Here is a 25,915-nt window from a genome sequence, read left to right on the forward strand (position 1 = left end):
CAAATTTAAACATGAAGTTCATTTACGTTTCATATATACCTTATACACATAGCCTGAAGGTAATTTTACACAATATTTTAATTAATTTGTCCTACGATTTAATTCTTTAAAACTTTTTAAATTTTATTATAAAATAACACTTCCAGGATACGGACTTGCTGTGGGAGGAATATGTAATCAGGCCACTCAAAAATGCCTGCACTTGAGGCTGAGCATTTAAAAATGAATGTTCATATGTAACAAAAATTAAATGATGTATTTTTTGTATTAAAATTAAAGAAATATGTTGGATAATCATTATAATAAAGAATATGCTCTAAGAATGGGGATAAAAGCTGTTGGGCGCCCCTTGGTACCACCATTTCATAGAAGATCATAGTTGTAAACAAGCAGAAGGATGATGCAATCTCTGACATAATTAAAACCGGGTAAACCACAATAAGTGTGTTCCAGCAATTTGTCAAGTTATTTGTCCAGGTCTATCATAGCTACTGAGCAAATGGGTTGGCATGAATAGTTATGTCCTTAATGTGTACATCATTAAGAGGTCGGTATGTCTTCTCATTTACTGGCAACTTCTCCAACTCATCTAGAGTTTCCAGACCATCTATTACCCTGAAAGAGAAACAACATAACATATGAAAATTTCCTTAAATTGAAACATGATATCCATATCTATGACAATTACAGTCTCCTTAAAAAATAATCAAGTCTTACAGATCTCTGAGTTCTCTAGTTGAATGTACAACAAAATGTTGATTTTCCATCATAGATATGGATCAAAATTCAGAAATAATTTACTTTTATGCCCTTAGTCAACAATACAAAGGGTAGGAATATTTCCACCATAGTACCTAAAATTATATTCTACCCCATTCATACAGTGACAGAGAACAGCTACAAATGGGACTAATATAACCAGTTAAAGGGAAAACAAACTGTTTTTCTACACTTTCATACTTCCAACACCAAATGTGTGGGTTTTCCCAGTTCTCCAATTCTCTGGGTATCCCACAACTTGATTATTTTTTCAAAATTTTATTTAATTTTTTAAAGACAGGATCTCACTGGGACTACAAATGCATGCCCCCACACCTGGCCCTATAATTTAATTGTGACACTAACTACAAGGAGTGAACAGAGACCCCGGTTAATCCCACAAGACAGCCCCTACCACTTCGGATGCCAGTTCCAAGTCCCGATTGTGATCTGTACTATCTGACTAACCATGATATAATTTGGGATTTTTCATGCCCCCCAGCTCTGTTCAATAATTTTCAAAAATGGCTCATAGAACTTAGGAAAGCACTTTATTTATTACTATGGGCTATTATAAAGGTTACAACTCAGGAACAACCAAATGGAGGAGATGCATAGGGCAAAGTCTGAGAGAGGGGCACAGCGCTTCCATGCTCTTCTCGGGGTGTGTTACCCTCTTAGTATCTACTTGTGTTCACCAACCTGGAAGCTCTCAAACCCTGTTTAGGGTTTTTACGGAGGGCACATTAGGTAGGCACGATTAATTAAATCACTGGCCACTAGTGACTGGAACTCAATCTCCAGCCCTTCTCTCCTTCCCAGAGGTCAAGAATAGGAGGTCACTGAATGTTCCACCCCTCTAAAAATACATGGCTGATTCCTCTGGCAACCAGCCCTCCATACTGAAGCTATCTAGAACCCCACCAAGAGTCACCTCATTAGCATAAACTCAGGTATGGTTGAATGGGGTTTATTATGAACAATAAAATATTCCTTTCACTCCTGTCACTCAGGAAATTGCAAGGTTTTTAAAAGAACTATGCTGGAAACCACGGATGAAGTCCAAATATGTATGTCTTATTACAACACACTAGTCATAAAGATTTCTTTGCTACAGGAAATACATGGAGAAAGTATGTAGATGACACTATTAGCAATACTGCCCTACAATGAGAGTCCTAAAGTAGGTGACCACTCCACTTTGTACTTGTTTTTTTTTTTTTTGAGATGAAGTCTCGCTCTGGTCCCCCAGACTGGAGTGCAATGGTGTGATCTCGGCTCACTGCAACCTCTCCTCCTGGGTTCAAGCAATTCTCCTGCCTCAGCCTCCCAAGTAGCTGGGATTATAGGAGCCTACCACCACGCCTGGCTAATTTTTGTATTTTTAGTAGAGACGGAGTTTCAGCATGTTGGCCAGGCTGGTCTGGCCTGACCTCAGGTGATCCGCCCGCCTTGGCCTCCCAAAGTGTTGGGATTCAGGCATGAGCCACCAAGCCCAGCAGTTAATTGTTTAATTATAGTATTTCTTTCTTTTTTTTTTTTTTTGAGATGGAGTCTCACTTCCATTGCCCAGGTTGGAGTGCAGTAGCACTATCTCGACTCATTGTAGCCTCTTCCTTCAGGTTCAAGCAATTCTGCATCAGCCTCCCAAGCAGCTGGGACTACAGGCACATGCCCCCATGCCCAGCTAATTTTTGTGTTTTTAGTAGAGATGGGATTTCACCACATTGGCCAGGCTGGTCTCAAACTCTTGACCTCAAGTGATCTGCCCACGTCAGCCTCCCAAAGTGCTGGGGTTATAGGCATGAGCCACCACGTCTGGCCTAATTATGGCATTTCTACTTTTTGCTTCTGGATAACAACAAGAAGTAATAAAAATAGGAGAAGAGAAGACTGACAGTTAACAGCCTCCAGCAATCCCACTTCATGTTACCACCAAGAAAAAATATATTGAGAGCTATTCTTCAAATACAAGTTTTGGAAATTTCAGTCTAAAACATTTGCTAAGAAAGAGTGGCTTTTGATCTCTTGACCTCGTGATCTGCCCGCCTTGGCCTCCCAAAGTGCTAGGATTACAAGCGTGAGTCACTGCACCTGGTCATCTGACTGCATTTTGACTGCAACCCGTCACATGAGGTCAGATGTGGAATTTTCTACTTGTGGCATCATGTCAGTGCTCAAAAAGTTCCTAATTTTTAATTTTCAGATTAGGGATTCTCAACCACTGGTATGTACTTTAAAAAATTAACAGATTTGTAGGCCTGGCGCAGTGGCTCACGCCTGTAATCTCAGCACTTTGGGAGGCCAAGGCGGGCGGATCACGAGGTCGGGAGATTGAGACCATCCTGGCTAACATGGTGAAACCCCGTCTCTACTAAAAATACAAAAAATTAGCCGGGCGCGGTGGCGGGCGCCTGTAGTCCCAGCTACTTGGGAGGCTGAGGCAGGAGAATGGCGTGAACCCAGGAGGGTGAGCTTGCAGTGAGCTGAGATGGCGCCACTGCATTCCAGCCTGGGCGACAGAGTGAGACTCTGTCTCAAAAAAAAAAAAAAAAAAAAATTAGCAGATTTGCATTTTATTTTGCATTTTCACAAAATGGGTACTTCAACCAAAACATTTTGATTTTACCCCTAAATATAGACATTTAAGTCTTTAAATTATAAGTCTTAAAGGCTATCCCACCTTCTAGGTCAGTAAGAGAAACAGAGGAGGTAGAAAACATAGGTCTCAGGTAAAAAGTTAAAAAAACCCAGCAGGTAGAACTGAGGCAGTTAAGTAGAGTCAAGTATATGGGAAACGGACCCCTTGGAGAACTAGAGGAAAGTTACTGGATCATCTTCCCAGAAAAATGTGTGTGCATCTGTATACAACAAACAAGGAATTAATGAACCTAAGGTTAATCTTTGTTCTAAACTCTACAGTTTTGTCGCAAATCCAGTAAAATGAGTCCTGGTAATAACTGAACAATAATTTTGAATGATGTTGGTTAAGGGAGAAAATAAGAGGGAAACTGGGTTATTTACAAACATAAAAAAACTACTAGATGTTGTAATATTTCTTTTCTCCTTGATTATTATTAATGTGTAAATTAGATACATGTATATGGAATGAAAAAGAAAAGATCTGTCTAGATCTCACTGCAGCCTTGACACCCTGAGCCCAGCAATCCTCTCACTTCAGCCTCCCAAGTAGCTGGGACCATAGGTGTGAGCCACCACACCTGGATAATTTTTAAATTTTTTTGTAGAGACGGGGTTTCACTATGTTACCTAGACTGGGAGTCCTCTATTTTTAATTAACCTAATTTGGCATCCAAACTATTAAATAGAACAAACTCTAGAATTGTGCCTTGGTTTATTAAGCATGATAATTATTTGTTGAACGAACAGACAAATTGACTTCCCACTGATTTATAAAAGCAACTCCCAGACATAGTACTCTTAATAGATACCCTGGCAGAAACTGTGAAATACCTTCCTAGGAGCCATTCTTCTTACTCGGAGAAATCTAATTTTAGTAAGGGTGGCAATGTGGCTGAAATACATTTTCTACCCTCCATTGTAGGTAAGGAGTGGTCACATTACTAAGTTCTGGGTCTTCTGGGAAAGTTTTTTTTTTTTGAGACGGAGTCTCGCTTTGTCACCAGGCTGGAGTGCAGTGGCGCAATCTTGGCTCACTGCAATCTCCACCTCCAGGGTTCAAGCCATTCTCCTGCCTCAGCTTCCTGAGTAGCTGGAATTACAGGCACGCACCACCGCACCCAGCTAATTTTTGTATTTTTAGTAGAGATGGGGTTTCACCATGTTGGCCTGGATGGTCTTGATCTCCTGACCTCATGATCTGCCCTCCTTGGCCTCCCAAAGTGCTGGGATTACAGGTGTGAGCCACCGCACCCGGCTTTTCTTTTTTTCTATCTTTTTTTTTTTAGAGATAGGGTATCATTGTTGCCCAGGCTGGAGTACAGAAGTGTGATCTCAGCTCATGCAGCCTGGAACTCCTGGGCTCAAGTGATTCTCCCACCTCAGCCTCCTGAGTAGTTGGGATTACAGGTGTGTGTCACCACACTTGGCTAATTTTTAAATTTTTTTTATAGAGATGGGTTCTGCTATGTTCCACAGGCTGGTCTTGAACTCCTGGCCTCAAGTGATCCTCCTGTCTCAGCCTCCCAAAGCACTGGGATTACAGGCCTGGGAAAGTTCTGTTAATTAAAAAAGGTGAATCAGCTGGCAAGCACCTTTTGTCTTTCCTCCCCTTTCCTCCCTGATACACAGAAGTTTTGATAAGAGCTGTGCTGCCAATATTATGACAGAGGCGCCTAGAACACTGGTAACAAAATGGAACCACCATGCCAGTCCATCTTGTTTAAGCCACTATTTTTCAGATCTGTTAGTTGCTGTGAAATGCTATCATTAATGAAAATGGACCAGCCTGGGCAACATAGTGAGACCATGTCTCTAAAAAAAAAGTGTTTTTTTTGTTTTTTTTTTTTTTAAAGTAGCTGCGCATGATGGTACACATTTGTGGTTCCAGTTACTCAAGAGGCTGAGGTGAGAAGATCACTTGAGACCAGGAGGTTGAGGCTGCAATGAGCCATGACTGTGCTACTGCACCATACTCCAGCCTGGCGACAGAGCCTTTCGTCTCAAAAAAAGAAAAAGAAAAAGAAAATAGATATACTATGTTAATTTGCATAACAATATTGAAAAATTACTGGCCTCTTTTACAAAATAAGGAAAATAAAGCTCAGGGAGATTATAACTTTCCCAAGGTCACAGGGTTGCTAAGTGGTAGACTTAAACTCCAGGTACGTTTAGCTCTCACACCACTCTTCTTTTCTTTCTTTTCTTTTCATTTTTTTTTTTTTTTTTTGAGGCAGAGTCTCACTCTGTCGCCCAGGCTGGAGTGCAATGGCATGATCACGGCTCACTGTAACTTCCGCCTCCCAGGTTCAAGCAATTCTCCTGCTTCAGCCTCCTGAGTAGCTGGGACTACAGGTGTGTGCCACCACATCCAACTAATTTTTTAAAATATTTTTAGTAGAGACAGGGGTTCTGCCACATTGGCCAGGCTGGTCTCGAACTCCTGACCTCAGACAATCTGCCCACCTTGGCCTCCCAAAGTGCTGGGATTACAGGTGTGAGGCACTGCGCTCGGCCTCACTCTTTTCAATATTAGTTATGCTACTGTCACAGCTAAGCATATGCACCACTTGCATTGAAATGCTAAAAGAAAACCATAACCAGAATACTCACTTTCCAAATACGGTGTATTTCATGTCCAAATGTGGCTGTTTGCCATAGGTGATGAAGAACTGAGATCCATTGGTGTTCGGGCCATTATTAGCCATAGATACAACACCTCTAACATTGTGCTGAAAAAGACACATCAAAGTATTAACTGTGTTTTTATATAACCATCCCAAATATAGTATTGAAACAAGACAGGCACACCTTTGTTTTCTTTTTTAAAAATATTTTGAGATTGGGGTCTCACTATGTTGCTCAGGCTGGTCTCTAACTCCTAGGCTCAAGTGATCCTCCTGCCTTAGCTTCCAAAGTGTTGGGATTACAGGTGTGAATCAGCACACCCAGCCAAGACATTCAATCTTTACCTTCACAATATTTAAGGGAGCAAGAAAACATTTAACCAACTTCTCTCTATTAGGGATAATCCAAATGTTCAGTTTCTGCCTTTTCTGTACCTTTGAAAACTTGTATGTAAAAGGTTAATATATCAAATAATATTTCTCAATTAATTTCATTTTCACTTTGAAGAAATACAGCCATGGACACTTTTTGCAATACCAACAAATAATAGAAATAATCCTTACATTTATATTAAGGAATAGTGTGCTGGAATGAAATGATCAGGCAGGCAACAAAACCAAAATGCCCACAATCTCTTCTCACATACAATGGACTCTTGCTAGTTTCTTTATCTGTAAAACAAGGGAGGCTGGACTAGTTCAAGGGTCTATTTATAACTCAGATGCTCACAAGGGTCAAGCAGATAAACTGACAATTGGGCAGAATGTAAACATTAGAGAGAGATGAAGTCTGGCAAAATGAATAGGCTATCTCTTGATTAATGACATTAAATATATATTTTTTAACTAAGGGCCACAGATAATGCATCTGTGGGTGTTCCACTCATGGGCAGTCAGTTTATAACCCCAGGACTGAACGATCTAAGAAAGGTCTCACCTAGCTCTACTATCATGATAGTATTTGTTTACAAGAGACAGTGTATAGAAATTAAAAGGACCTTACTGATAAGAATGAAGATGTAACTGTGAACTATGTTACAGGGAGGTGCCTGTAATACACTACAACTCCACCAATTACTCTAGCTTTAGCTATTCATTGGGTGACGCTAATAAGTCATAGAGAAGCACCTATATCAAAATATTAATGCTTGTCTCCCTAAAAGGTGTCCACCAATCAAATGTAATATTAAATACACATGTAATATTTAATACATACACAATATTTAATACATACACAAAAATATAGTTAATAAAAATGTAAGTTAATAAAATAAGCACCCATTAACATATTTCCCAGCTTTCAGAGTTAAAATTTACCAATTCATTGAATAATGGGAGCTCAAGAAAAAATAAAAGTTACCAATTAATTACATATATCCATGTGCTCCTCTCCATTTATTACCTCAGCCTCTACAAGAGGTAACCACTATTCTAATACCTTTTTTTTTTCATTTTTTCATTTTTTTTTTTTTTTAGAGACAGGGTCTCACTCTGTCACCCAGGTTAGAGTGCAGTGGTGCAATCATAGCTCACTGTAGCCTTGACCTCCTAGGCTTGAGCAATCCTTCCACCTTGGCCTCCTGAGTAGCTGAGACTACAGATGTACACCTCCATACCTGGCTAATTTTTTAACTTTTAGTAGAGATGAGGGCTCAATATGTTGCTCAGGCTGATCTCAAACTCCTGGCCTCAAGTACTTGTTCCTCTCACCTCGGCCCCCTAAAGTGCTGGGATTATAAGAGTGAGCCACTGTGCCCAGCCCTAACACATTTACACATGCCTAAACAACACATTCTTTCCTTTTCCTTCTGAATATAATTACATCGTAACATTTTAGTCTTCTGGGAAATGCTTTCTACAAATAACATTGTTACATTTCTAAGGTTATACATGTACATATAGCCATAGTTTATTACTATTTTTTTACTACTATGTGATATTTCACTACTGAATATACTACAATTTATCCACAATCTACATAGTGATTCATCTACAATCAGTGGACATTTGGGTTGTTTCTAGACTTTTGCTATTACAAACAGTACATCAGAACACTCCTGTACATGTCTCTTGGTGCAAACTTACAAGTTTCTCTTGAGTAAACATTTGGGAATGGAATTCCTGGGCCAGAATATATGAAGAGTCAATACATATCCACAATCTTGGTGTATAAGGTGTATAATATAATGGTTCTTTTTTTTTTTTAGACGGAGTCTCGCTCTGTCGCCCAGACTGGAGTGCAGCAGCACGATCTCGGCTCACTGCAAGCACTGCCTCCCGGGTTCAGGCCATTCTCCTGCCTCAGCCTCCCAAGTAGCTGGGACTACAGGCACCCACCACCACACCTGGCTAATTTTTTGTATTTTTTGGCAGAGACGGGGTTTCACTGTGTTAGCCAGCATGGTCTTGATCTCCTGCCCTCGTGATCCGCCCGCCTCGGCCTCCCAAAGTGCTGGGATTACAGGTGTGAGCCACCGCGCCCGGCCTATATAATGGTTCTTAACTCTGCCTGCAAAAGAATCATCTAGGAACCTTAAAATATAGTCTAAGTCCTAACCAGCCCTACTGACTTTATTTTTAGGAGGGCAAGGCCATGATCTGTTATAGTTTTAAAACTTCCAGCCAAGTGCAGTGGCTCACTCCTATAATCCCAACACTTTGGGAGGCCAAGACAGGAGGATCATCTTAGTCCAGGAGTTTCAGACCAGACTGGGCAACAGAGCAAGACCTCGTCTCTACAAAAAATCAGAAATTAGCTGGGCACGGTGGTGCACTCCTGTGGTCCAGCCACTTGAGAGGCTGAGGCAGGAGAAACTGCTTGAGCTCAGGTCAAGGCTGCAGTGAACCGTGATCAGGCCACTGCACTCAGCTTAGGCAACAGAGTGAGACCCAGTCTCAAAAACAAACAACAAAGTTCCACAGGTGATTCTGTCATAGCCAGTCTCTGGTTTTCAGCTGGTATATGGAAGCAGTCATTAATGTAATAATTAATACCTAAAAAATTGTTTAGTTATTCATTCAGGAAAAAGTTGACTTTTCAAAAAGTTTATCACCTCCCAGCCTCAACTCCTGTAACAAAACTAATACATTTCCTTACAATAGAAAAGTAAAATGAACCAGCTTGGGCAACATAGTGAGACACCATCTGTACAAAAAATACAAACATTAGCCAGGCATGGTGACATGCACCTGTAGTCCCAGCTACTCTGGAGGCTGAGGTGGGAGGATCACCTGAGCCCAGAAAATTTAGTCTGCAGTGAGCCAAGAATGCATCACTGCACTCCAGCCCAGGGGACAGAACAAGACCCTGTCTCTAAAAAAAGGTTTTAAAAAAAGCAAAAAGAAAAGAAATTACTCCTAGTCTCATCATCCAGAGATAAACACTGCAATGAATTTTTTTCAGAATTTTTGTGGGTACATTTTAATGTAATGGAAATATAATAATACACTTAAACTGCATATTTTGATTGAGTAGACTTTTTTTTTTTTTTGAGTGGGGTCTCGTTCTGTGCATGATCTTGGCTCACTGCAGCCTTGATCTCCTGGGCTCAAGCAATCCTCCCACTTCAGCCTCTTGAGTAGCTGGGACTACAGGCACACGCCACTATAACAGGCTAATATTTGTATTTTTTTGTGGAGATGGGGGTCTCACTATGTTGCCCAGGCTGGTTTCAAACTCTTGGCCTCAAGCAATCCTCCTTACTGGGCTTCTCAAAGTGCTGGGATTACTGTACCCGGCCCTGGTTGAGGATACTTCATTGCTCTTTTTCTAATCATAAAGTTATCATTCTATGGAGATACAAAGTTTGAAAGACCACATAATAAGTCATCAACTGAAGTTATCTCTGGGAAGTGGGATTGATTTTTAAAACTAGGCATGCACTAATTTTTAATTTTAGACAAAAAAAAAAAATGACTCCACAGAGGTTTGAAAAACACAGAAAAATATAACAAAGAAAATTAAAAATCCCTAATTTTACCATGTTAAAGACTATTTATATGTACTACTCTTTAACCTAGTTGTGATCTACCATAGGTATTAAGTCATATTAATACAGGGATGTTCAAACATCTAACAGAAGATGATAAAAGCTGGGTACTGATAATGGGCAACATTGCAACCAGGAAGTTTGATAGTCTTTCCTCCCCACTCTCAAAAAAGGCCACTGTTTCATGTCATTCAACATGAATTTTATGGTGAGATATTAAGTCTCTTTGGTACACTACTAGTTAAACATTTCAGGTTAGATTCAAAGATGAACTCACTTACTATCAAGAGCCACGTGGTGGTGGGATTCCAGTACACATGTCAGGCTAGGATCACCATTTCTCAAGTCTCCCCGACATCATTTGTCAAATGTACAAAAACTATAAAAAAGTATGTTCATTTTGCAATGATGTTAACTTGTATCACTATGACACATGTATCAAAGTTTCCATGCATAACCAAGGCATGAGAAATAGATTTTTAAAGCATTGAGGATTTACCTTAAGATATTCACTGTATTCATCCTCAAACTTCTTGCCCCAAATACTGTTGCCTCCTCTTCCAGTTCCTACATTACAAGTGAAGCAAATCAAAAGAAGTATTTAATTAAATTGAAAACAAGTTCATTTCCCAAAACTTAAGGAATACTTTATAGTTTGACTGCTTAAATATAGATAAAATTTGATATGGCCTTTCCTAATTCCCCAAATTTAACTTCACAGACCTGAAGATTAAAACAGACCTACAAAAAACAAAAAAGAATAACCCTCCTTATAAATATTGTTCATATATATTTAAGTATGAAAAGCTTCACAAATTTGTGTCTCATCCTTGTGCAGGGGCCACACTAATCTTCTCTGTATTGTTCAAATTTTAGTATATGTGCTGCCAAAGTGAGCACAATATTGTTCACATTTTAGGGGTAGGTGCTAATAATTTCTGCTTTAAAATTGCACCATGTAATACTATGCAGCCATAAAAAGGATGAGATCATGTCCTTTGCAGGGACATGGATGGCTGGAAGCCATCATTCTCAGCAAACTAACACAGGAACAGAAAACCAAACACCGCATATTCTCACTCATAAGTGGGAGTTGAACAATGAGATCACATGGACACAAGGAGGGGAACAACACACAGCAGGGCTAGTTGTGGGTGGGGGCAAGGGGAGGGAGAGCATTAGGACGAATAGCTAATGCATGCTGGGCTTAAAACCTAGAGGACAGGCTGATAGGTGCAGCAAACCACCATGGCACACATATACCTATGTAACAAACCTGCATGTTCTGTACTTGTAGAACAGAACTTATTAAACAAAACAAAACAAAACAAAAACTCCACGTATTTAATTCCTCTTCTTTTACCCACTTCTTCATACTATACATTCAGTTCCTTAGATCTTGGTTAATGGAATAACTTACCTGTTGGATCTCCTGTTTGAACCATGAAACCCTTGATATTCCTATGAAATATACAGCCATTGTAGTAATTACTGGCACAAAGAGCCAAGAAATTCTGAAGGGAGTAAAAATGATTGAGAAATGATGCAGCAGAAACCCAGTTAAGACAAAAAACCAATCATATTTACTGAAAACGTGATAGCAGCATATTTAAACTATGACTGTTGTCATTACTTTGGATGTCATTTCCCTGCCTACAACACTTCAATAGCTTCCTTCTCCTCTTGAAATAAAATACAAAATCTTTCGCCGGGCATGGTGGCTAACGCCGGTAATCCCAGCACTTTGGGAGGCCGAGGTGGGTGGATCACGAGGTCAGAAGATCGAGACCATCCTGGCTATGGTGAAACCCCATCTCTACTAAAAATACAAAAAATTAGCTGGGTGTGGTGGCAGGCGCCTCCAACTACTCTGGAGGCTGAGGGAGGAGAATGGCGTGAACTTGGGAGGCGGAGGTTGCAGTGAGCCGAGATCGCACCACTGCACTCCAGCCCGGGCGACAGAGACTCCGTCTCAAAAAAAAAAAAAAACAACCAAAAACAAAAAGAAAATCTTCAGCAGGGCCTAACAAGCCCTGCAGTACCTGGCTCATCTCCTCATCACATATACTAAGAACTGCTTTCTTGTTGCTTACTACCTAAACTCCATCAGCATTCTGACAATTAATCCAAAAGGGGCAGCTTTTCTTACCTGGGGTACTCTGTACCTGAGATTTCTATATCTGGAATGTTCTTTTTTTTTTTTTTTTTTTTTTGTAGAGACAGTGTCTCCCTATGTTGCCCAGGCTGGTCTTGAACTCCTGAGCTCAAATGATTCTCCTGCCTCAGCCACCCGAAGTGCTGGAATTACAGGTGTGAGCCACCGTGCCTGGTCTTGGAATTTTTTAAAATTTTATTTCACAACCTTTTCTGAATCTGAATACCTGGAATATTCTTTCTATACCTCTTTCCATGGAGATGCCCTCATACCTTTGCATTTAATTTAAGTATTAGTTTATTGGCTACACCTGCCCTCACCTTCTTCCTTTCCCATTATTCTCTATCTCAACACTTAATTTTTTTCAAGGCATTATCATCTTTTAGAATTACTTAATTTTAGGCCAGGCACAGCAGCTCACACCTGTAATCTCAGCACTTTGGGAGGCAGGAAGATCACTTGAGTCCAGGAGTTCAAGACCAGCCTGGGCAACATAGTAAGACCTCATCTCTATCTTTAAAAAAAAAATAAATAAATGAAAATAATTTCTTAAAAATATAATTACTTAATTTTCCTGCCCTGCTTATTTTTACAACTAAAATATTGGCTCCATGAGGGTAAGGAATGTCTGTTGCTCATCACTGTATCTCCAGACTCTGGGGCAAGATAGCCTTTCACGAATAATGGGTTTCTTGTTTCGTTTTGAGACAGGGTCTTGCTCTGTCACCTAGGCTGGAGTGCAGCAGTGTGATCAGAGCTCACTACAGTCTTGACCTCCTAGGCTCAAGCAATTCTCCCACCTTGGCCTCCCTTGTAGCTGGGACAACAGGGTCACACCACAACATCTGGCTAATTTTTGTATTGTTTTGTAGAGATGGGGGTCTCACTATATTGCCTAGGTAAGCCTAGAACTTCTGAGCTCACCTTAGCCTCCCAAAGTGCTGGAATTATAGATGTGAGCCACCATGCCCAGCCATAAATAATTGCTGAATAAATGAATATATACAGGTGACTCTTCTTCCTTCCATCCTTGTCATTTAAACAGGTGACACAGGCCGGGTGCAGTGGCTTTGGGCAGCACTTTGGGCAGCCAAGACGGGTGGATCACCTGAGGTCAGGAGTTTGAGACCAGCCTGATCAACATGGTGAAACCCCATCTCTACTAAAAATACAAAATTAGCTGGGCATGGTGGCTGGCGCCTATAGTCCCAGCTACTTGGGAGGCTGAGGCAGGAGAATCCCTTGGACCTGGGTGGCGGAGGTTGCAGTGACCCAAGATTGGGCCACTGCACTCCAGCCTGGGCAACAAGAGCAAAACTCTGTCTCAAAATAAATAAATAAATAAATAAAAATAAACAGGCGAAATAATGTATAGAACAGGCCAGGCATGGTGGCTCACGCCTATAATTCCAATACTTCAGGAAGCTGAGATGGGACGATGGCTGGAGACCAGGAGTTCGAGACCAAGTTGGGCAACATAGTGAGATCTCGTCTCCATAAAAATTTAAAAAAAATTAGCCTGGCATGGTGGCACACGCCTGTAGTCCTATCTACTTGGGAGGCCAAGGTGGGAGGATTGCTTGAGCCCAGGAGGTTGAGGCTGCAATGAGCCGTGATTGCACCACTGCACTCCAGTCTGAGCGACAGAGCAAGACCCTGTCTCAAAAAAAAAAAAAGTATACAACAATTCTTTAATATAATATCCTGCCGGGCATGGAGGCTCATGCCTATAATCCCAACACTTTGGGAGGCTGAGGCAGGCGGGTTACCTGAGGTCAGAAGTTTGAGACCAGCCTGGTCAACATGGTGAAACCCCGTCTCTACTAAAAAAATATAAAAATTAGCTGGGCATGGTGGTGGGTGCCTGTAATCCCAGGTACTTGGGAGGCTGAGGCAGGAGAATCGTTTGAACCCCAGAGGCGAAGGTTGCAGTGAGCCAAGATCATGCCACTGCACTCCAGCCTGGGTGACAGAGCAAGACTCCGTCTTGAGAAAAAAAAAAAAAAAAAAAAGGCCAGGTGCAGTGGCTCATGCTTGTAATCCCAGCACTTTGGGAGGCTGAGGTGCATGGATCACCTGAGGTTAGAAGTTTGAGACCAGCCTGACCAACATGGTGAAACCCTGTCTCTACTAAAAATACAAAAATTAGCCAGGCATGGTGGCGCACGCCTGTAATCCCACTTACTCGGGAGGCTGAGGCAGAAGACTTGCTTGAACCCAGGAGGCGGAGGTTGCAGTGAGCCGAGATCGCGCCATTGTACTCCAGCCTGGGGGACACAGCGAGACTCCATCTCAAAAAAAAATAATAATAAATAAATAAAAAAAAAGAAAGAAAAAAGTAATATAATGTCCTAATGATTACGTTTCCTGAAGAAAATTAGTTCAAAAGAAAAAGATACTGGCTACTCTATCGTTACCGAAAAATTATCTACGTTCTCTTTGATCCACCTTTGACATTGGACAAATAAGTGGAAATCAGGCCAGAAGTTAGGATGGCTAGTTTTCCCTAACAATGGTTTTACAGAAAGTTTTGTTGTTGTTATTTAGGTTAGATTATTCAATTCCAAAGTGCTTATCTTGTTGTATTAACTGATGTTGAATATGTAAATAATAGTACTTACCTCACATGTTTTGGGTGTCCTCTCACAGAAGACTTCAATTTTAATATCACCTACATCTGTATGCAGTGTCACAGACTAAAAAGGAGAGAAAATGTGAGAACAAATGAAATTTATTTAGGTGACTTTATGCATTGTTTATTTCCCTGTGTGGATATTCAAGATGATAATCTGAATAAAAACAGACAGAAATACTGCTTCAGAGATGACCCATCCACAAAGCAGCTCTTAGAGGTTAAGTTGTACTTTTTTCTCAAAATTGATCCCAACAGTAGAGAAAAAACTCCAGAATATAAATGTTAGGGTTAAGTAGTATCCATGACAAAAATTTGGAAGTAAATATTTTGATGGAAAGAATTATTTTAACTTTGAATTTTTTATCAAGAAAAATAAAAACAATTGTTATGTATTATTGATGTACATGGCAATTCACCAACATCCTTATTTATAGAAAAATGATGAGAAAATGATTTTTCAAAACATAATTTCCACCATTTTCCTTAGGTAATTTAATTCTGAGAAATAGGGTTAAAAAATAATTCCTTTCTCGACTAACAAAAATATAACAAGTGTCAGTGTTTCTAAATCTTAAATGTGCAGAGATAACCACAGTGCTTTCTTGCTTGCTTTTTGTTTTTGTTGTACCTGTTTTTCTGTAACCTGTATACCCCTTGATATGATACTGTATTCCAGAGAGGGAGAAAACAATTTGGAGGGTTCCTTTTTCATTTCTCCTTTTTTTTTTTTTTGAGGTGGAGTCTTGCTCTGTCGCCCACACTGGAGTGCAGTGGCGTGATCTCGGCTCACTACAATCTCCACCTCCTGCGTTCAAGCAATTCTCCTGCCTCAGCCTCCCAAGTAGCTGGGATTACTGGGATATGCCACAACACCCAGATAATTTTTGTATTTTTAGTAGAGACAGGGTTTCACCATGTTGGCCAGGCTGGTCTCGAACTCCTGACCTCAAGTGATTGGCCCACCTCTGCCTCCCAAAGTGCCGAGATTACAGGCGTGAGCCACCGCGCCTGGCCTAGCAGTTAGAGAGTATGAGCAGGTTAAAGATGTGTGTGGGAGAAGCAGGGCACTATTCTCATTGCCTTTTTCTACTTCAGGTTCTAGTTGCCCACTTTATTTAATTGTTTTTTTAAAAGTAGAGACGGGGGCCTCACTGTGTTGCCCAAGCTGGTGTTGAACTCCTGGGATCAAGCAGTCCTCTCACCTCCGCCTCCCAAAGTGCTGGGATCACAGGTGTCAGCCACTGTGCCCAGCCTAGTTGCCCACTTTAGATCTAGAGCAAAATAATCCAATTAAAATTGTCAGACCTGTCTATTCTCTTCTGCTCCTTCAACTCTCCCTTTCCATTTCTATCTATCTTGTAATCAATCTTTCTCCATAAAAGGTAAATTCTGGCTGGGCGAGTTGGCTCACGCCTGTAATTCCAACACTTTGGGAGGTCAAGGCAGGCAGATCACCTGAGGTCAGGAGTTCGAGACCAGTCTGCCCAAAATGGCGAAACCCCATCTCTACTAAAAATACAAAAAATTAGCTGGGCGTGGTGGCAGGCGCGTGTAATCTCAGCTACCGGGGAGGCTAAGGCAGGAGAATCGCTTGAACCCAGGGGCAGAGGCTGCAGTGAGCCGAGATTACACCACTGCACTCCAGCCTGGGAGACAAGAGTGAAACTCAAAAAAAAAAAAAAAAAAAAAGGTAAATTCTGTGCATTTTAAGTGACAACATTAAAGAATTTTAAAGCAATTTTGTGTATTTTTTAAAAGAATTATTCCATATTAAGTGCTTCTATATTATACAATTTCTCCATCTTGCCACTGCAATTTCCATGAACTTTTATTGCCCTTGACTGAATTTCTAAAAATTACTTATAATGAAAGACATTAGATAAAAATTGCTCAAAACTTACCATTTTTCCTCTTAGTGGTTTCAGGAAGGACTACGTGATTTCTCAGTCTTACAGCGAGCTCAAAAATAAGTCTCTAGTCCCAAAAGAAAAAAAGAATTAGGCTCATTTTCCTGTCTTAACTCACACACGCTCATCTTTACTGAACATTTTAAATAAAAACCTCGCCGGGCGTGGTGGCTCACGCCTATAATCCTAACACTTTGGGAGGCCGAGGCGGGTGGATCACTTGAGGTCAGGAGTTCGAGACCAGCCTGGCCAACATGGCGAAACCCCGTCTCTACTAAAAACACAAAAATTAGCCGGGTGTGGTGGCAGGCGCCTGTAGTCCTAGCTACTCAGCAGGCTGCGGCAGGAGAATCACTTGAACCCAGGAGGCGGAGGCTGCAGTGAGCTGAGATCGCGCCACTGCACTCCAGCCTGGGTGACAGCGCGAGACTCCGTCAAAAAAAAAAAAAAAAAAAATCCTCTAATGGCATCCCCTAGGTAATAAAAACCCGGCTATAGAAGATATCCTACCCGATTCAAGCCTCCCAATCTCCTACTTGCCCGGCTTGCTCTTCTTCAAGAGCCTCCTTGCAAGTCCCCCAATAACCCAGATACCTTCCCTTAGGGTCCAGGCATTGGGTGTCCCTTTTGCCTGGAATTCTTATACTCAGACATCTCTACGGCTAATTTCCTCACCTCCAAATTTCTGCTTAAATGTCAAGTTTAACTGACCTGACAATCCTACACAGAACTGCTTTAGCCCTTCAGCCCTAGGACATTCCTATTTCCTTCTCCCACAGCACTTATCACTAATATACTATGAAATTCGCTTTTTTTTTTTTTCACCACAGCACTTATACTAATATACTATGAACTTTTTTTTTTCCACCACAGCACTTATCACTAATATACTATGAACTTCTCTTTTTTTTTCATTTTGAGACGGAGTCTCGCTATGTCGCCAGGCTGGAGTGCAGTGCGGCAGGATCTCGGCTCACTGCAACCTCCGCCTCCGCCTCCCGGGTTCAAGTGATTGTCGTGTCTCAGCCTCCCGAGTAGGTGGGACTACAGGCGCGCGCTACCATGCACGACTAATTTTTGTATTTTTAGTAGAGACGGGGTTTCGCCGTGTTGGCCAGGCTGGTCTCGAACTCCTGACTTCAGGTGATCCGCCCGCCTCGGCCTCCCGAAGTGCTGGGAGGCCGCCGTGCAGGGTCCTTCTTTTACTCTGACGTTGCAACAACAGCCTCGCCGCCCACTGTTCACTCGCAGTATCCCAAGAACTAAACCAGTAGCAACACAGAACTCAGCAAGCATTCGAATAAGTGAATGAAAGAATTAATGACGTTACTCCATACTTGGGCTTCACCACTTCGTCTAGCACAGCCGTTGTTAAAACAGGAAAAATGCAATCGCAGATGCCAGCAGAGGTCTGTTGGTTCAAAATTATAGTTTCTTTGGGCCAGCGGAAGTTGGGCGCGGGACCCAAGAGAGAGAACGCCCCTTACCGCCTCACCTCCTTCCTCCCCTCATCTTCCTATCTCAAACCAAAACGACAATGCAATTTATCCCCAACCGGAAATTTGACAGTGAAAGGGAGCTCTACTAATAATTGCACTGGGACAAGAAGTGTAAGGCGAAACTACCTGGGCAACCTCAAGCAATGCTTTACACTCGGCTGCCAAACGGAAAGGACCACTTCCGCCCAGCTCTCCCGCTACGGGGAGCCAAGTGCCACAGCATCCGGAGCGCCGACGCGGGACCGGAAGTGACGCAGAGAAGTTTCCGGGACTGGTGAGTAGTGGGCGATTTAAAAACCCGCGAGTGTAGTTGTGACCTTCGCGGTAGGTGCCGGTTGGGGCCGGCTGTGATTGTTATCTTGGTGCTGCAGAGGACAGCAGAAGAGGAGATTGGGTCAGAAAACTGCCCTGCCGCACCAGAGCACAGCGCACTAGTGGGACAGGGGTCCTGACTCAGACTTAACTGGCTGTGTCTCGTGGTTTTTCACTGTCCTGGAAAAGGCCTGAAGTGGCACTGAAATGAGGCATAGATGAGGTAACGTCGAGGGAGCGGTTTGCAGGTTGCAAAGGGGCCCTACTGATGCTGCTTAATAGTAAACAGTGCTTACTCTAGGACGGGAGTTGTTTCCAGCTTTACGTGTAAATCTCGCGATATTGTGGCCTGGGCACTATTTCCATTAAGGAGGAAACTGCACAGGATAAGTCATTTACCTGCTGTTGCACAGCTCTGGCTCTAGGATTCAGGCTGGCTTCAGAGTCGGTGCTCTTAACCGCCATACTATGTTGCCTTCTGTTGTCGTTGTTGACTGTGGCCATGTAGCTTCGCAGTTTCCTCATCTGTAACAGTAAATAACTCAAAACCTGCATGATGGCCCACTAGGGTTTCACTTTCGAGCTTGCCAGATGTAGAAAATGCTGGAGAATGGAGTACTATGAGGACCATTAGAAGATCTTTCAAGGCCGGACGCAGTGGCTCACCCCTGTAATCCCGGTACTCTTGGAGGCCGAGGCAGGTGGATCACTTGAGCGCAGGAGTTTGAGACCAGCCTGGGCAACATGGCGAATCCCCATCTCTACTAAAAATACAAAAATTAGCCAGGTGTGGTGTTTAGCGCCTGTAGTCCCAGCTGCTCAGGAGGCTGAGGTGGGAGGATCTGCTTGAGCTCAGGAAGTCGAGGCTGCAGTGAGCTGAGATCACGCCACTGCACTCCAGCCTAGGCGCCTAGTGAAACCCTGTGTCAAAAAGAAAAAAACAAAAACAAACTTCCAAGACCTCGAGTGGTTTTTGGAGACCCTGTATCACTTCAAATAATGTGTTAAACAAGCATCTTCATCTCATTAAATAGAAATGTTGAAAAATTGCTTTTGGAATAATTGACTTATGGATATTTCATCAAATTTACAGTTGGCTATGCTTTCTTATTGTGCATACTATGAAATGTTTTTCTTCAAAAAGTGTTTATAAGTGGTAAGTTTAAGAATGGGGTTGACAGCATTATCTTTTGTGGTTATTTGATTAAACATTTACTAATTGTGCATATTTTGGAGCCAGCAGTTTTTTTCTACCTTTCCATTGCCCTCCCACCTTCCCTCTGTTGCCAACCTTTTCAGTTCCTTGTTGGATGTAGATACTTAGAAGGCTTACAGGCTGTCTGGGAAAAGTACCCTATACCTTATCCCCTCCCACCTCTTGAGCCTGGCCTTTGTGTAGCAAATGTTGCTTAAGGGGCAGTGGCTTCTCCCTTCTTCTGCCTTGACCCTGCCCATTTATAGAGTGACCTGCCTATGTATTCCTTGATTTTTGATTCTGATAAAGCACTTGACATTTTAAACATTCTTTTTTTTTTTTTTTTTCTTTTTGAGACGGAGTGTTGCTCTCTCGCCAGGCTGGAGTGCTGTGGCATGATCTTGGCTCACTGCAACCTCCGCCTCCCAGGTTCAAGTGATTCTCCTGCGTCAGCCTCCCGAGTAGCTGGGACTACAGGTGCACACCACCATGCCCAGCTAATTTTTGTATTTTTAGTAGAGACGGTTTCACCACGTTGGCCAGGATAGTCTTTATCTCTTGACTTTGTGATCCTCCCGCCTCGGCCTCCCAAAGTGCTGGGATTACAGGCGCCCCGCCACATTATTCTGTTTTTTGGTAAAGCACATTGTAATGCCAGTATATACCACCCCAACTCCAAATTCTGTTGCAATCAGGGGAGGCGGGCAGTGTCATTCTATGCAGTAAGCATTTAGTGCTGGCTTATATTAGTGATACTGAGATTTATTGAAGTTAGTTCCTATTACATAGTAGCTTTAGCATAATGGGCACACACAGAATTATGAGAATACTGAGGGGTGGGGAGCCTTGGGAAGGATGCTGAAAAGGGAGGTCAAGAAAAGTTTTATTTAAGAAGTTGGAGGGGGCTTGGGAAAAGGAAAGGTAATATTTAGAGAAATGGATTAGGGAGGAGGTTGGTTGAAGCAAGGGTAGGGAGAATAAGAACAAGGGTGTGCAAGGCAGGAGATGGGATGGACGTTTGTGTATTATGTACCAGGCTTTGCTAGGTTACATAATTCATTAGCTCCTCTGGATGGCCTGTGAAGTGGGTTATAGTATCTCTGTTTCGTAGGTGAGAAAACAAGATTGGAGAGGTTAAATGGCTTACCTAAGTTACAGTGTGCTGGTAAGTGGCAGAGCCACTATTTGAACCCAGATCTCTATGACGACAGCTCTTTTGCCCATATGTTTTGATGCCTCAAAGATCCAGGCCTAAAGTATACCTGTGTACCATTTTCTTTGTTTTGACATCAGAAACTTGAACTTTACCTGATTTCTGTATGTTGTCATCTTGCGTACGCCCAGTCCCCACGACAGTCCGGTTTGTAGATTCCCTGATCTGCAATTCTTCCCGTTCCTTCATGGATTTGAAGGCTCTCCTTTCTTCCTTGAATGACTTTGCATCCCTCTCGTTTGCTGAGAGTTGGGACAATGTTGGATTACTGGTGGAACCAAGCCCACCACATACTGTAAATACACTCTTCCTGACCAATGACCTGACTGAGGAAGTGATGGAGGAGGTGCTGCAAAAGAAGGCAGACCTCATTCTCTCCTACCATCCGCCTATCTTCCGACCCATGAAGCGCATAACCTGGAACACATGGAAGGAGCGCCTGGTGATCCGGGCTCTGGAGAACAGAGTCGGTATCTACTCTCCTCATACAGCCTATGATGCTGCGCCCCAGGGCGTCAACAACTGGTTGGCTAAAGGGCTTGGTGAGAAGCCTCTTTCATATTTGATATTTTCCCTGCAAATACTTTGAAACTTTAGGATGTCTTTCCAGTAAAGTTTTAACTGCTTTAGGGTTGGGGAGGGCATGATTCCATTTTTATATAATAATTTTAAAATAATGTTGCTGAAATTTGGCAGTTAAATTGCATTTGAAAAAGGAAACATTTTTTATTCTTATGGAGTAAGGAGAGCAGAAGTCTTCCTTACTGGACTGAGCTTCATGATTCCTCACTTTTGTGGCACAATGCCTGTCACCCAGGCACTTGGAAAATGCTTGTTGAATTGAAAGCTCAGGCCTCTCCAGAATACACTTGATTGATAAGTCAAGTAAATAGACATCAGGGTTTTAATGAATGTTTTTAGTGAATGTTTACTTATGCCTAGCACAATGAGGGAATGATGGATGGATTTTAGCTTTATTTTAGTAAGTCTTTAGTTTACTCATTTTGGGCTAAAGCTTTTATGATGATATCTGGATTAATGTGGTCAAATAAAGTATGAGCATTTGCAACCTGAATGATGGTTTACATGGCTAGATTTACCAAGCAGTAGACCATTCTGTGTATTATCTGAAAATGTATGAATCAGTCTTTCTTGTCCAAGTTTTTCAGAGATTTAAGAATCTTTTGGAAAATAATTCTGAAAATAATTTGATTTTGTATGTCCATGCCAAAGCCCTAGATTATGGGGACTGGTGATGTATATCTAAGGGATGTGTGTATGTTATGTAAGCATGAGAATGAATCTTTTTAAAAAGTCATTTCTTAGAAATTTTGCCTATAATAGTTTACTTTTAAATCTTAATCTCTCACCCCCCAAAACTCCCATTTTCCCACAATATTTTCTCTAGGAGCTTGTACCTCCAGGCCCATACATCCTTCCAAAGCTCCCAACTACCCTACAGAGGGAAACCACCGAGTAGAATTCAACGTTAACTACACCCAAGACCTGGACAAAGTCATGTCTGCAGTGAAAGGAATTGACGGTGTTTCTGTCACTTCTTTTTCTGCTAGGTACAATTTATTTTTCTCTTTTTTTTGTGTGTATTTATTGGTAAGCATCTTCCTTACAAAGTCTATAACCCTGGTATTTAGGCTTGAAACAAATAGTTTTCTCTGGAGTTGATTTACAAAGTAGCATACTCCTCATTTGTTTGTGGGTCCTGGAGAACTATGGAATTTTTTCAAAACAATAAAAACGGTAAGTAACACTAAGTATTTTCTATGTCAGGGGACTATACTATGCATTTTACCTACAGTATTTCTAATCCTGGTAATGTTCAAAGATAGTTGTTTTTACTTTAGAGAATACAGATAGATCCTAGTGATGTGGTGATAAGGCTTTTATTGGTTCCCAGCAAATCAGTGATTCCCAAGTGCTTTTTTATATTTATCTTTACATTTTAAATATATATTTTCATAAATCAGTCTTTTTATTTAACATCATGGGAAATATTTTTCTGAATAGTCTTTTTTTGTTTGTTTTAAGAGACTCCCAGGCTGGGCACGGTGGCTCACACCTGTAATCCCAGCACTTTGGGAGGCCAAGGCTGGTGGATCACCTGAGGTCAGGAGTTTGAGACCAGCCTGACTAACATGGAGAAACCTCGTCTCTACTAAAAATACAAAATTAGCTGGGCGTAGTGGCGCATGCCTGTAATCCCAGCTACTCAGGAGGCTGAGGCAGGAGAATCACTTGAACCCGAGAGGCGGAGGTTGCAGTGAGCCGAGATCGCGCCACTGCACTCCAGCCTGGGAGACAGAGAGAGACTCTGTCTCAAAAAAAAAAAAAAAAAATGCAGATTTTTGTATTCACCTCAGACCTTATAATTAGAATGGAGTTTGCCTGAGAATCTGTCCAGGACATTCTCAAATTCAATGATGTTTTAAAATTATCATCTCTAAGGCTTTAAAAAAATTCATTTTGCCCCAGCCCCATTTGTAGATGTTCTGTTCACTGGTTCTGTGGAAGGATCCAGCAGCTGTTATTTTAAGAAGCTAGAAGGAATTTTTTTTATTTTTTTGAGACAGAGTCTCACTCTGTTGCCCAGGTTGGAGTGCAGTGGTGTGATCTTGGCTCACTGTAACCTCCGCCTCCCAGGTCCAAGTGATTCTCCTGCCTCAGCCTCCCCAGTAGCTGGGACTACAGGCACCCGCCCCCCACCACGCCCGGCTAATTTTTTTTGTATTTTTGGTGGAGATGGGGTTTCATCATGTTGGACAGGCTGGTCTTGAACTCCTGATCTCAGGTAATCCACCTACCTTGGCCTCCCAAAATGCTGGGATTACAGGTGTGAGCCACTGTGCCTGGCCTTCTTTTTTTTTTTTTTTTTAACTTTAATTTTTTAATAATTAAAAAAATAATAAGATAGGGTCCTGCTATGTTGCCCAGGCTGGTGTTGAACTCCTGGGCTCAAGTGACCCGCCCACCTTGGCCTCCCAGAATGCTGAGATTACAGATGTGAGCCACTGCACCTGGCCAAGAAATTTCTGATGCACAATCGGGATTGAGAACAGTTCTTGAACAGTGGTTTCAAAGTGAGGTCCTTGGACCAGCAACATCAGCATCACCTGGAACTTGTTAGAAAGGTAACCTCTCAGACCCCCACCTAGATATAATGAATCAGAAACTCCAGGGGTGGGGCCCAGCACTCTGTGTTTTAATAATCCTCCAGGTGATTCTGATGCCCAGTAGAGTTAGAGAAATGCTATTCTAGAAAATGGATTAGTTTCAGATTAAATGGGTTCTGTTGGTTAAATCCTTGGTTCCACATAAATCTAATCTATTATAGTAGGTTTGTAAACTGTGGATTATCTAAAATACATTTTGGCTATATTTGTCCTAAATGGAGTGATTTTTCCCCCCTAGGACTGGTAATGAGGAACAAACACGGATTAATCTGAATTGTACTCAGAAGGCTTTGATGCAGGTGGTAGATTTTCTTTCCCGGAACAAACAACTTTATCAGAAGACGGAAATTCTGTCACTGGAGAAGGTAATAAGAATATTTTGTATTTGATCTTAAAATACTGTGCACACATTTTCTAACAGTATAATTGAGGTATAATTGATATACTTAGGTATATTGAGGTATACCTTATTGAGGTATAATTGATATACTAAGAATTGTACATATTTGATGTGTACAATTTGATGAATATCATTACTTTGCATTTTTCTTCAGCAAATTCATTTGTAAATTATTAGATCAACAGGCCATTCACTGTTATCTAAAGTACAAAATGGCAATGAGAGCATAATATTCTCTAGGAAGTAATTGAGAAAGGGAGACATTCCAGGAACAGGAAAATATTGGTACGTCTTCAGGGTTACAGATTTGGTTACAGGTTTGCTGTCTCCTTATTTTACACGCTCTGCCTGGACCATGTCATTCACTTCTTTAACTTGATAGCCATTTGTATGATGATTTCTATCTTTACTTTTTGGCTTAGAATGCTTTCTTAAGGGAAAAAATGACAAGAACCCATATTTTCATCTACTTTCTGGATGTTTTGCACTTACAGAGCCCACAAGTATTTCAAATTCAGTATATCCAAATACTTTATCCGTTTGCCACCCCCGCTTTTTTTTTTTTCCATATTTCATATTTCAGTATCATTATCTACTTTAGTTTCCAAGTTTTCACATTCCTCCTTGACTCCAGGCCCTGCTGAGTCTGGCCTCATATCTATACAGTGTTTCTCCTCTGTATTGGCTCTGCCACCACAGTAGTTGAAACTCTCATTTTCTGCGATGAGAGTAGTCTCACCGAGCACCTAGGAGGCAGTCCAGGCTCTTTAGCATGGTGTTGGAAGCCCTTAATGATCTGCTACAGCCTGGGCCTCCAGCCTCCTCTCCTTCCACAGCATGTACTCTGCACAGTAGCCATACTGTCTTCTTTTGGATCTGCCCCCATAGTGTGTTCTCTCAAGTTTTTGGCACCTTTGTCCATGTCCTCTGTGTTTAGAATGCCTTTCTCCATCTCATCGTACCTCTGTCCTGCCACACTGCACTTGACATCACCCCTTTTTAAACTCTTTATTTCCCCCTTTTTAACTCTTTTAGGGTTTTCTCTAAGACCTAAGTCCTTCCTCCAAGTACTCCCCAAGCCTCCTAAGTCACAGCTCATTTAGTTTGTCATTCTTTGTGCTGCTGCAACTGTAGCACCTACCTTGTATTTAAACAGTTTTATTATTTTGTTTATTTGAGACAGGGTCTGGCTCTGTCCCCAGGCTAGAGTGCAGTGGTACAATCTCAGCTCACCACAACCTCTGTCTCCTGGGTAGCTCAAGCCCACCTCCCATTCAGCCTCCCAAGTAGCTGGGACTGCAGGCGCACGCCACTGCCTGGCTAATTTTTGGATTTTTTTGTGGAGATGAGGTCTCACTATGTTGCCCAGGCTGGTCTCAAACTCCCGAGCTCAAAC

General features: G+C 41.8%; 2 protein-coding genes and 1 pseudogene across 21 annotated transcripts in view, besides 7 other annotated features; 1 reads left to right on the plus strand and 2 right to left on the minus strand.

Moving 5' to 3' along the window:
- On the minus strand, positions 1–18,385 carry PPIL3 (peptidylprolyl isomerase like 3). Of its 10 annotated transcripts, none has more exons than XM_005246652.6 (7): positions 18,338–18,385; positions 16,707–16,779; positions 14,792–14,866; positions 11,436–11,529; positions 10,515–10,582; positions 6,013–6,131; positions 1–615 (listed from the first exon to the last, which is right to left on the minus strand). In XM_005246652.6, exons 2-7 carry the CDS (start codon positions 16,707–16,709, stop codon positions 489–491), a joined length of 486 nt encoding a protein of 161 aa, XP_005246709.1. In that variant the 5' UTR covers positions 16,710–16,779; positions 18,338–18,385; the 3' UTR covers positions 1–488. The 10 variants fall into 10 exon arrangements, with proteins under 10 accessions (XP_005246709.1, XP_005246708.1, XP_011509660.1 ...); XM_005246651.4 differs by lacking the exon at positions 11,436–11,529 and adding an exon at positions 14,356–14,461; XM_011511358.3 differs by having other exon boundaries at positions 18,043–18,385.
- Positions 10,809–10,915, minus strand: RNU6-312P (RNA, U6 small nuclear 312, pseudogene; annotated as a pseudogene).
- Positions 17,251–17,995: an enhancer, noted in NCBI's record as "NANOG-H3K27ac-H3K4me1 hESC enhancer chr2:201752880-201753624 (GRCh37/hg19 assembly coordinates)". NCBI's record gives its function as "activates a minimal SCP1, AML or CMV promoter by ChIP-STARR-seq in primed H9 embryonic stem cells {active_cell/tissue: H9 hESC(primed)}" and the evidence as "EXISTENCE:reporter gene assay evidence [ECO:0000049][PMID:30033119]".
- Positions 17,251–19,006: a biological region, named in NCBI's record as "BRD4-independent group 4 enhancer GRCh37_chr2:201753436-201754635".
- Positions 17,689–17,738: an enhancer, noted in NCBI's record as "active region_16966". NCBI's record gives its function as "activates an Ori minimal core promoter by ATAC-STARR-seq in GM12878 lymphoblastoid cells {active_cell/tissue: GM12878}" and the evidence as "EXISTENCE:reporter gene assay evidence [ECO:0000049][PMID:35858748]".
- Positions 17,807–19,006: an enhancer, noted in NCBI's record as "BRD4-independent group 4 enhancer chr2:201753436-201754635 (GRCh37/hg19 assembly coordinates)". NCBI's record gives its function as "activates an origin of replication core promoter dependent on BRD2, P300/CBP, MED14 and CDK7 cofactors, and independent of BRD4, by STARR-seq in HCT116 cells {active_cell/tissue: HCT116}" and the evidence as "EXISTENCE:reporter gene assay evidence [ECO:0000049][PMID:35650434]".
- Positions 17,859–18,108: an enhancer, noted in NCBI's record as "active region_16967". NCBI's record gives its function as "activates an Ori minimal core promoter by ATAC-STARR-seq in GM12878 lymphoblastoid cells {active_cell/tissue: GM12878}" and the evidence as "EXISTENCE:reporter gene assay evidence [ECO:0000049][PMID:35858748]".
- Positions 17,996–18,740: an enhancer, noted in NCBI's record as "NANOG-H3K27ac-H3K4me1 hESC enhancer chr2:201753625-201754369 (GRCh37/hg19 assembly coordinates)". NCBI's record gives its function as "activates a minimal SCP1, AML or CMV promoter by ChIP-STARR-seq in primed H9 embryonic stem cells {active_cell/tissue: H9 hESC(primed)}" and the evidence as "EXISTENCE:reporter gene assay evidence [ECO:0000049][PMID:30033119]".
- NIF3L1 (NGG1 interacting factor 3 like 1) overlaps positions 18,421–25,915 on the plus strand; it is a 14,606-nt gene continuing 7,111 nt past the window's right edge. The window contains exons 1-4 of one of the 11 annotated variants that reach the window (NM_001369444.1): positions 18,421–18,485; positions 20,830–21,473; positions 22,340–22,502; positions 24,358–24,484. In NM_001369444.1, coding sequence (NP_001356373.1) covers positions 21,038–21,473; positions 22,340–22,502; positions 24,358–24,484 — 726 coding nt within the window. In that variant the 5' untranslated portion in view covers positions 18,421–18,485; positions 20,830–21,037. Of the gene's footprint in view, positions 21,474–22,339; positions 22,503–24,357; positions 24,485–25,915 lie in introns of all 11 variants that reach the window. The other 10 variants (NM_001136039.2, NM_001142355.1, NM_001369441.2 and 7 more) reach the window with 10 other exon arrangements.
- Positions 18,999–19,248: an enhancer, noted in NCBI's record as "active region_16968". NCBI's record gives its function as "activates an Ori minimal core promoter by ATAC-STARR-seq in GM12878 lymphoblastoid cells {active_cell/tissue: GM12878}" and the evidence as "EXISTENCE:reporter gene assay evidence [ECO:0000049][PMID:35858748]".

Source organism: Homo sapiens, chromosome 2 (genome assembly GCF_000001405.40).
Source record: "Homo sapiens chromosome 2, GRCh38.p14 Primary Assembly".
NCBI classification, from domain to species: domain Eukaryota; kingdom Metazoa; phylum Chordata; class Mammalia; order Primates; family Hominidae; genus Homo; species Homo sapiens.